General features: G+C 38.6%; 1 protein-coding gene across 5 annotated transcripts in view; it reads left to right on the top strand.

Annotated features, from left to right (window-relative positions):
- Positions 1 to 11,691, top strand: part of GPC3 (glypican 3) — a 449,850-nt gene that overhangs the window by 23,638 nt on the left and 414,521 nt on the right. For 3 of the 5 annotated variants that reach the window (NM_004484.4, NM_001164617.2, XM_017029413.3), the window contains exon 2: positions 8,746 to 8,907. The exons of 1 other annotated variant lie outside the window; for it this stretch is intronic. In NM_004484.4, coding sequence (NP_004475.1) covers positions 8,746 to 8,907 — 162 coding nt within the window. The remainder of the gene's footprint in view (positions 1 to 8,745; positions 8,908 to 11,691) is intronic. One more of the 5 variants, NM_001164618.2, reaches the window with a different exon arrangement.

Below are 11,691 nucleotides of genomic sequence, written 5' to 3'. Positions count from 1 at the left end.
TAATCAGATATGTACTTTAGAAATATTTCTCTGGGACTTGGGTGGAGAAGGGTATAGAGGCAGGAAGGCCAGTTTGGAGGCTGTTGTTAGTTGTCCAAGTGAAAGAAGGTGAGGTGATGAGGGAGCAATGGAAAGGAGGGGAATGATTACATTTAGAAAGCAAAATCAGTAGCATTTGGTGACATTTGGCTATAGCAGATGAGGGTGTGAGTGAAGTATCCAGAATGAGTGAAAGGTTTCTAGTTAATTTGAGAGTCCATTTTCTATACCAATTCATGAACTCTGGTGCAGGGACCATGTCCTGTTCATTATTATATTCCTTGGGCTGGGCATAGTCCTTGGCATAAAGTAGGCATTCAGTAAATGTTGGATGAATGAATTGTTCACCACTTTGGCAAGGTGGATATAATCCGTGAATTTGTATTCTCAGAGCACATGTTGACCACTGGTTGGTAAAGTGGTCCAGGAAGAACCTCTTTATGGGAGAGTGTAGTGATCTGGGGATTCAACCTTTACTGGGCATGAAATGATAGGCAGTTAATTGACAGTTGGCAGTAGAGATAAAGGTAATTCTTTCTTTAATTTTCGGGCTTAGAGAATGGCTTATCTCCACGGTTGCTTTAAACTCCCAGTACTCCAGTGTGGTAGTGACATTTTGGCCTGCCTTTTACAGAGGCAGAGTCCATGGTGGCCCCAGGCACGGTCTTTGATTTAAAGTCTGAGCTCCTGATACCCAGGTGCGCCCTCTGCAAAGTCATGTTCTTTCAGGCTAAATAACAGAAGGGTAACCTTCAGCTGGGTTCCCTAAGATGATTTCTTTCGCCAGCAATCATCACTTTCCCCACCGGTTTTTAATGCAGCCATTTCTTTCATCTGTATTCCTATCTTGATTTGTGAGAAATTAAATGAGCATGTAAGATGTGGTTTAGATAATGATTAATTAGGGGAAAAGGCGTCATTCCAATAGCAAGTCACTATTATATGCTAAGGAAATTAGTTCATATTTTTGGATGGCAAATTGACTTGTCCTGCATTTAAAAAGATACCTTTTAAAAAATGCCTGTTATGGCTTTTTTTGGTTCATTAGTAGAGCAACCTGCACTTAATCCTTTGGATGATTTTAATAGGCATCTATTATTTTCCCTACAAGTCATGAAGCAACCAGTTTGGGATATCATTAATTCTTTTGTTTAATATTAATTTAATGATAATGCATTATTATTTTCAGCACAAAGTACTTTTGTTAGCAAAAAAAAAAATAATCTGCCATTCATAAAGCAGACCTTGGCAATGAAATGTGTCAAATCATCATATATATATATAGAAAAGATTTCAATTTTCATTGTTACTGAGCCCTGATGATTCATTCTCTTCTGTTGCTGTTTGAATATGCTTTATCTGCTCTTAGAAAAGTGTAAGGATCAAGGTCTACATTAATATTTTTTCTGTTCTTTAATGTGATTTTTGACAATTTGTAGTTATTAACTAAAATTGCAGTCTAGTAAAATAACCAACATATAGAACATGATAAAGGTAATTAGAGAATCAGAGACCTGGAAGTGACCTTGAGGGATTATTTAGTCCATTTCCCAATTTCAAGGTGTATGGCTAATCTTCCTAAACAGCACTCTTCATCATATTATGTCTCTGCTTGAGAAGCTCCAGTGGTCCATTACTGCCTAGGAGTCAAGCCCACAGGTCTCTGCCTGCATTCAAGGCCCTTCAAATTTGGGTCTGTCTTACCTGATAAGCTATTACGCCCCAGGGTCTAGCCAGTCTGCAGTTATGTTAGCTTTGCCCCGTTATTCCACTGTTTCCAAACACATTTCACCCATTGGCCTCTCCACATCTTTTCCATTCTGTATGGTCTACCTCAAGCCTCACCTTCTCCTGGAAGTCTTCTTTGACTCCTAGAGCCTCTGGTGAGCATTCCCTTATCCAGCAAATGTTGTCTATATCACATATTTTAAAAGTCAACTTTATTGAGATATAATTTACAAACAATAAGATGCACTCATTTTAAGTGAAGAGTTTGATGAGTTTTGACAAATGTGTACACCCATGTAACCAGTAACCTAATTAGAATGTAGACTATTTCTTCCACCTCAGAAAATACACTGCATATTTTGTCACGTAACCGTATACCAACTTTCACTGTTCTCTAGCTATTATTTTGTGTGAAAGTCTAGTCTCTCAGCATGAATTTATCTTTGGTTTACTTTTAATTAATGCATATTGAATATTTACTTTGTATCAAAAAGACTAAGAGCTTCACATGCATAATCTCACTTAATTTTTGTAATAACTAAGTACTATTGATGATCCCATGTTATAGATAAGGGCAAAAAGTTAGGTAGAGGTTGAATAACCTACCCTTGCTTGTGCAGCTAGCAAGTGATAGGGCTAGGATTAAATTGTAAACAACTTGACCTGAGGAATCATAAGTGTTTTGTTATTTGCTGCCCACTAGTGCCTGTGATGATACTGACCTCGAAGCCATTAATGCTGATTTGGAATAAAAATCCAATAGAACTGACACATTGAAACAGCCCTATACACACTGTTGGCTTTCCTCTTCCAAGTATGGACAGGGATTAGGCCTGGAATGGGGTCTCCAAGTGAATGTGGTAAGCATAGGACTTCATAGCAAAGAGAAGCTGAAGTCCCACTCCTGGGGGAGGTGACTAAAGAAAACCAGGAGCAGTCTAAAAGGTCAGATATTTAAATGGAGCTAACAAAGAGCGAGAAGTGGGCCCAAAGGAAAGAGTCTGTGATGGAGGTCAAGAAGGCCAAGCCACAGGTAGCCAGGCCTGAAAAGATCTCCTGTCACAAGAGTATGCCTCAGAAGAAAGCCTTCTGTGGACCATCTGTGGTTAGCCTCTAGGAGTGGAGTAATCCCCCAGAAGAAAAGCTTCCATAGCTCAAATATCCCCTTTTACTTGTATGACTGGACCCAATGTGCGAGAAGTTGTCTTAAAATAATTAGTAATAAATTACTTCATAGTTCATTCAACTGAAACATCTATTTATTGTATCTTCAAGATGTTTGGAATTTTTTTTTTTTTTTTTTCGAGACGAAGTCTCACTCTGTCTCCCAGGCTGGAGTGCAGTGGCACGATCTCAGCTCACTGCAACCTCCGCCTCCTGGGTTCAAGCGATTCTCGTGCCTCAACCTCCGGAGTAGCTGGGATTACAGGTGTGTGCCATCATTGCCTGGCTGTTTTTTTTTTTTGTTTTTTTTTTTTTTCAGTAGAGATGGGGTTTCGCCATGTTGGCCAGGCGTTGGTAGTTTACTTTTTTGGTATTTTAAAATATTTTTCCAAGATCCAAGTTAAGTGTACAGATGTAACGTTTTCAGGGTCATCTGCCTCCCCTTGATCTTTTTTCTTTTTTATCTTTTTTTTTTTTTTTTGAGACTGGGTCTCACTCTGTTGTCCAGGCTGGAGTGCAGTGGTGCCATCATGGCTCACTATAGCCTCGACCTCTGAGCCCAAGTGATCCTCCCTCCTCAGCCTCCCAAATAGCTGCAACCACAGGCATGCACTACCATGCCTAGTTACATTAAAAAAAAATTTTTTTATAGAGACGGGGTCTCACTATGTTGCCCAGGCTGGTCTCAAACTCCTGGGCTCAAGGGATGCTCCCACCTCAGCCTCCCAAAGTGCTGGGATTACAGGTGTGAGCCACCATGCCCAGACTCCACTTGCTCTTCTTAGATATAGACAGACACAAAGTTCTTTGTTAGTATTCTCAATCTGCAGCCCTCATTAATTCAACACTACGTGTACAGGGCTGAATGGGAGTGAAGGAGTATCCCAAAGGAGATGGGAGTCATTCTCTGCTCTTCAGGAACTTACAGTTTAGGAGAGGAGATTATAGTATGAAGGTACTTTTTAATCCTTCAATATAAATGGGAACTAGCAGCCCTGTAATGACTTCAGTTAATTTTTTTAGCGTCTGGGAATGCAAGTTATTAAGCCCTAAAGAGCTGAACCTTTCTGGCTCATTTGAATAGTCAATTGCTAAGTCTTCTCCTTATCTCCATCCCAGGCTATATTGCTTGTCTCCATTCCTTTTTCCCAGCTGAATTCCATTTTTACAAAAAAAAAATAATAATAATAAAGTGAGAACTCCTCTTTGATAGCTGGGCTTCACGATTACTTGTCCCTTATATCTAATAAAGGGGTTATTTTCTTTTAATTTTCCTTTGTCCCTCATATATTTAAAGAGTGCTTTTGTATTTAGTATGTCTTTTGTAGGTGGCATCTTATTTCTTGAATTTACATTTCTGCTTTTATTCATGCAAGTACGTACCAGTTCTTGGCTTATCTCCTTAGTCATCTGCTTTTGGTTTTAGTTTTTCTTCATTCCATTTGGGATTCAGTTCCCAGGTTAATTCTTTGTTTACTTGATGAGAATTCCCTCTAAATTCTTTTTCTGTTTCTTTCTGTTTTCTGTGTTCTTTCTGTTTTATTTATTTCATGCACATGTCCATACATTGAAATAGTTATATTTCATTATTGTCATTTCATTTAGGCATGCCTAGCTCACCTAGGCTTCTTCCTCATGCTGTCTTGTGATGGGGCTTTTCTTAAAAGCTGGTCTGTGAAATTTACTGAAATTTATATGAAATTTACTTAATACAAAATATCTTTTCCTTTGGCATGTATTTCTCTCCTTCCTGGTTTGGAAATTCTGAATTCTTAATCAGTTTATGGGTGTTTTATTTCCTTAAATCTATAGCTAACTTTTAGCCCATAGATCAATTATACCAGTTCACTCATTAACCAAGCAGTAATAACTGGGAGGGAGGGTAAATATTGCAACATATCCACTTATATTTGGATATCATATATACCTTTCTTCAGGACATCTGACATGTTTTCCCAAAAGTTCTCATTTGAAATTTTATTCTTTTAAAGATTTTTGGCTTACCTGATTCTTCAGGTGGTGGGAGTTTATAAAATGATGAGACTTGGCCAACTCAGGGAAGGGACATACTGTATGCAAGCTCTAAATTACTATATGAATTATCATATCAAAGGCAAATCAAACTGGTGTCATGGTAGTTCAAAGAGTCATTCCCGGACCCATGTAGGTACATCAAGCAACAATTTGTTACCATCTAAGATCTGAACCACTCATAGCACTTCACTGAGAAAAGATCTGAGCCCTTTTATTTGATAACTCCCACTACCTAGAGCTGGTGGGAATAGGACCAGTACTAACAGTCACCCTGCCAAATAAACTCAACCATTCCTGAAAACTGGAAGTGATTGTCAATGCAAATTTAGAAACACAAAGGATTTTATCTATAATGATTAATTTTATGAACTTATTTAAATATGATATTTTGAACATGTACTACTTAGGCATCAGTTTATCAAGAAAGTAAATAAAGCCTTGCTAGATGAACAGGAACTTTGTATGTGAAAGTACCTGCCACATAGGATTTTTCATGTCTACATATGTGTCCCAACCAGCATTGTTTAAATTTAGATTAGCTACTCTTACCCAAGGAGACTCTTTCCCTTCTTGGTCCAGTAAACTGCATCAGTTCCTATTCCTAGAATAGCATTACATTTTGTAACTTCATGTAGTAAGAACACAGTGAGCTAGAACTAGCTGTTTCTTTACTTTTTCTGAAGATAATCATAAAGCTTTAAGCTTAGACCATATTGAAAATCAGTCTAAGGCTTGTATATGAGATTGAAATTTATAGGAGATAAATCTGAACTCTATGTCTGCAGACCCCAAATGGTATTTTGACATTAAATATCACCTTTCCATCTAGTACTATAAATTACAGTGCTGGGTTCAGTTTGGTGATATGTATTATCTGTGTTCTCCTTTACTGCTTTTGTCAGCAGCTCCCTTGAGAAGGGTGAAGTGGAGAGCTTGGAGTCAATACCCTGGACCCCAGCAGTGATGTCATGTGAGGCAAAACTTGATGAATTTCATTCCTAAATTAAGAAAATCTGGACACATAAGTTAAGGACATGATCAACTGAAATTCCTAGGGAAATAAGATGTTGTAATAAAAATAAATTTTCTGGTGACTTAGGGCTAACTAGTCTCCCCTCATTTTTTAAAAAAATAAAACATCCAATTATTGAAAAACTGTCTAAAATGTCTGAATATGCTTTCTAGTATGACTTCAGTAAGATTTCTTGAAACTTGCTTTTCTGAGGACCTTGTAAAACTTTAGGGGAGTCATCCTTATATCCCATATACACATTTTTTTTTCATTCTACCTTCTTAGTTTGCTTTATTGCACTCATTTACTATGCAGTAGCTATTTATCTCTGCTAGTCCCTTTAGACGGTGAACTTCTTTGGAGAAGGGATTAAATTTCTCTTGTTCAAAGTCGTACCTCCAGCATGTAGCACAGTGCCTGGCATATAGAAGGTATGTTAGACTGGGTTCTCTGAGAAGCAGATGCCAGTTGGATTCATATCTAATCCAATATGGAATAGATGTGCAAGGGATTTATTGGGGGAAAACACTTATGAAGGAAAATGAGGAGGGAGCTGAAGGAGGCCGGAAAAGCCATCAGACCATGGTGCAGGTCTGACCCTTGTGGAAGAGAGAGGAAAGGAAGGAAGGTTGAGTAGGAGGAATCTTAGACTGCAGTGCCGTTTTAAGAAAGTTTGGCAAGGTCAATGGGGAGTCCTCAAGCCAAAGTCCCCTGTGAGCAAAGTCCTGGGTTACAGGACTTAGTATCTTTGCCATGCTCAGTCATTGGCTGGGAGCAGCCCCCAGGGAATGTGGCTTAGGAACAATGTGGTGGTGAATTCAAAGGGCAGCAGCTGGGACCATTAGTCAATTACATTCCCCACAGTAGAAGATCTGAGATGCCCATATTCACAGCCACCACAGAAGGAGATCAACAAATGCTAATTGGAGAAAGAGTCTGGCAGTGGCTCATGCCTGTAATCCCAGCACTTTGGGAGGCCGAGGTGGATGGATCACCTGAGGGCAGGAGTTCGAGACCAGCCTGCCCAACATGGCGAAACCCCATCTCTACTAACAATACAAAAAATTAGCCAGGCGTGGTGGCAGATGCCTGTAATCCCAGCTACTTGGGAGGCTGAGGCAGGAGAATCCCTTGAACCCGGGAGGTGGAGGTTGCTGTGAGCAGAGATAGCACCACTGCACTCCAGCCTGGGCGACAAGAGCGAAACTCCATCTCAAAAAAAAAAAAAAAAAAAAAAAAAAGAGAAAGTTTGAGTAAGACAGAAGTTGAAGAGAGGAAGGAGATTGGTCTTAATATTCACTGAGCCCTAATATTTGTTAGTATTGGTGGAGGATATAAAATCATCAGATTCACACTCACCTTCCTCATCTCTCCTCAAACGTTACCTTATGGAAGATGCCTTCTCTGACTACCATATGCAAAACAGAATAGTCTCCACAATCATCACATTCTGTATCTCCCTTACTTTACTTTTTAAAAATTAAAAACAAGCTGGGAGAATCGCTTGAACCCAGGAGGTGGAGGTTGCAGTGAGCTGAGATCGCGCCACTGCACTCCAGCCTGGGCAATGAGAGTGAGACTCCGTCTCAAGAAAAATAAAAAATAAAAATAAATAAATAAAACAATTGACACCTTTATTGAGGCATAATTGATATATAATAAACTACATATTTTAAGGGTGCAAGTTGATAATTTTGACATGCATATACACCCGTGAAACCATTACCACAATAAAAATAATGAACATATCCATCACTCCCCAGAGTTTCTCCACTACTCTTTATAAACCCTTCCTCCTACCCCTCCTGCCCACCATCTCCCTTAACAACGACTGAACTGCTTTCTGTCACTCTAGATTAGTTTCTGTTTTTTAGACTTTTGTATAAACGGAACCATAGAGTATGTGCTTCTTTTTGATCTGGCTTCTTTCACATAGCATAATGTTTTTGAGTTTTGTCCCTCCAGTAGTATGCATTAATGGTTCATTCCTTTTTATGGCTAAATAGAATTCCATTTTATAGATATACCACAGTTTGTTTTCCTTTCCTTACTTTGTTTTACTTTCTCTATAGTATTTATCACCTTTTGACATTATGTTTATATTTTTGTTTGTTTGTTATCTCCCAGAATGTAAGCTCCATGAGGGCGGGGACTTTGCTTTGTATACTGTTACAACCACAGTGCTTGGCATATAGTAGGCACCTAATAAATATTTGTTGAATGACTTGTATCTTGCTTCAGACCTTTAGTTAAAACAACAACACAGCTTTGATATGATATTGATGTTTTGATCATTTATCCTGAAAAGCAGTATTGGGTTGGCCAGACATACATTTCATTTGGAAATCATAACTGGAATTTTGAAAATTGTTTCTTGGTTGTCTTCTCATTCATACATTATAATCAGGAAAAATAAATTATAGGAGTGAAGATTGATCTTTTAAAAGACAAACTAAATATCGGTGTTCAGTGATGTGTTTTTGGTGCTATAAATTAGTTTATGCAGAATTTATGAGTCAAACCTAGGCAATTAATTCTGATGGTTATTCAAAAAGAGTCAGCCATAAGGACAATTGGGAGAAAGCAGGGATTAGTTAAGATGAAACGTAATTTTGAATAATCAAAATTTTACTGTATCTCAAAAGAAATGCATTGTTTGCCCTGTTTGCCATGTGTGAGTGTGTGTGTAGGGGGTGGGGGTGGTGTGGGTGTGGGTGTGTGAGAGAGAGATCCTGCTTACTGAAACATGAAAACCTTGTTTGTTTCAGGATCAGATTTGCAAGTATGTCTCCCTAAGGGCCCAACATGCTGCTCAAGAAAGATGGAAGAAAAATACCAACTAACAGCACGATTGAACATGGAACAGCTGCTTCAGTCTGCAAGTATGGAGCTCAAGTTCTTAATTATTCAGAATGCTGCGGTTTTCCAAGGTGAGTTCTGGGGATTATTTTAGATGTGCTGCTTAGTGGCATCATTATTTGGGCACTGGGCTTTCAAATACTAAGTATAATTTATAAATTACCATTCCAGCATTAATGCTTGCTATTAAAAACCTCCCAGTGAGAAATTCTGGTTTAAAAAAACACATTTTCAGAGAAGCTTCATTTCAATCTTTGGAAAGGTGAGTATTGTCAAAAAATCATTGTCCAAGGACATTCTATTTACCTGTATATAAAGGTTATAAATCTCTACAGAAAGAATAAATAATATTTTCTCTCAGCTTGATTCAAAAACAAAAAAGTTCCCTTAAATACTGAGCCCAGTTTTCTCCAGGAATGAGTTAGATGCTTGTGGGATACATGTGGACTCCTTCTGACCACTAGGACCATTTCCATTTAAGAGGCAGACACTGGCTTGTTGGCCCAGGATTTTCCCATTGGTGTGAGTGGTGACCTCTCCTCTCTTTGTGACTCTCACTTCTTACCATGCCTGTGAATGATTGCAAGAGAAGCTGTTGTGGCATTGCCAGAACGGGTAGGAAATGACACTTCTCCTTGCTAACTTAGTAGGACTATCATAGCAGGATGGGGAGTACCTCCTTCAATTCTAACACCCAGCTAGGAAGATGATGATGATGATGGAGGTGGTGGTGGTGGTGATGATAGCAGACACTTATATGGCACCATGTGCTAGGTGCTCTTTTAAGTGGTTTACATGTATTAATTCATTTAATCCTCACAATATAATTATGAGTAGATGTTAGTATCCTTATTTTGTCGATGGAAATCTAAGGCACAGAATGATTAAGTAACTTGCTCAAGGCCACAAAATTAATAAATAAATGGTGAAGGCAGGATTTGAACCCAGATGGCATGGCTCTTAGAGTCTATTCTTTTAACTATCCCCATAGGCTGCCTCCTGTAACTGGGAAAATTAATTATGGGTATTCACAATTAATTAGTAATTAATTAATTATCAGTCTTTCTTCTATCCTTCCTCAAGCAGAGGGAATCAGCCACCTTTTTCTTGCCTCACCAAGAGAGGATCGAGGTCAGATAGAAAAATAACACTTCTGACTGCTTGACATTGCAAAGCTTGAGATTTATGGCACTGTTACAAGAATTAACCTCTGAATTGTAAGGTGTGTTGATTATAGCTTATTTTGTGTATTATAATGAAATCTTTAGAATTAGCTAAGAAAATTGTTCAGATTAGTTAATAAAGCCTACATTCACAACAGTTTCTTGGGTCAAAGCCTCAGGGGGTATTAGGTTGATTATATGAAGTATAATATATAAGCTTGAAGTATTTGTTAAACTATTTATGCAGTCAGACTCTTGTGAAGAGTTTGTTGAGACTAACAATTTGGTGATAGAATGAATAATTTAGACAGATTTTAAAAATACATGTAGCATTCATGAACTTCTTAGATTGGTTTTGGAGTTGATCTGTTGGATGAAAGTGGGGTGAGAAGAAATGATGTGACATGAGAATTGGGTTGAAGCAGAGAGCTGAATCTTACTCTTTGGGGCATCAAGGTCCCTTTTTAGAACAGAGTATTAGTGATTTGTTTAATTCCCAGAATATCCAAGCTCACAGATGTTACCTTACAATCCTTGTCTGGTTGGAGGGGAGTGGTAGAGTGATCATACTGGCATTTTAACATTTACAGTAGCTGACATGGCTATGTATCTGAGGGCCCGGGTCGTCAGCATTTACACCTCTGTCCAGTTCTGCACTTTGCCCACTGTGTTTTCTAGATCTGCAAAAATGTGAGACTAGGAGAGAAAAAAAGTTCTGACAAGATTTTGGTTGGATTAGCTTCCAGATAAGCCTGCTATAGCTTGGAGGCTGAATACTAGTCATGTGAACAGAGGGTAGAAAATGGGGGCAGCATCTACTAATTGTATCTCTCTCTCCCTTTCTCTCTGTCTCTCTTTCACTTCACACACACACACACACACACACACACACACACACACACACACACACTTTCTTGAATTGTGGGGATAGACAGAAGGACAACCCTAGCAAAGGAACATGGAGACAATGAAATTATGTCTGAGCTAATTATTGCTAGTGCCCTTTACCTTGTCACCATCGGTACTCATTCTTTATCTTGTTTCACTCCCTCTTCTCATTCTTTTCCTGCCTCACTTTTAGAAAAAATAAACCCAACAAGGAAAAATAAACCATGATCCCAGACCTCAAGGCACTTGTACAATGTTTCAGAAGACATTGCCCCTAAATCCTTTTGTAACAAACATTTGGAGAGACAAGACTTCAAACTGGGGACCACTACAAGATAATGTATTATTAATTGCTAAGAAAAAGAGAGCATCCACTTTTTTTCTTTCTTATGACCGTTTATTATTCCATTGAATTGAAATTAGGAGACACAATTGTTTTTCCCCTAAAATACATCCCCTCCCCAATATTCTGGTAGACCAAATTAGTGAGAAAACCATCCCAGTACTTCACTCATGTGAAATTTGATGTGACGGCTTTTGCTAGCTATTTTCTCCATCACATGAAGTTGAAGAAAGCTCATCTTGATCTTGGCCTAGATCCACAATCTCTTTGGTATTCCTTCACTAGTCCACATTGGGGGTATTTAAGCAGTGAGTGCTTTCTGCAAATATGTGCACAGTTCCACGAGCAATCCTTACTGCCTCGATTTGGATTTTATGTCTTCATTTGCAGGAAGCCTTTGCCCTCATAAATGAGCCTGGGGCCCTTTGCTACAGTGGTTGGAGTGCTCTATTGCTAATGTT

This window comes from Homo sapiens, chromosome X, assembly GCF_000001405.40.
Source record: "Homo sapiens chromosome X, GRCh38.p14 Primary Assembly".
NCBI lineage: Eukaryota > Metazoa > Chordata > Mammalia > Primates > Hominidae > Homo > Homo sapiens.
The sequence above is the reverse complement of the archived record's forward strand: the minus strand, read 5'-3'. Positions and strand labels throughout refer to the sequence as shown.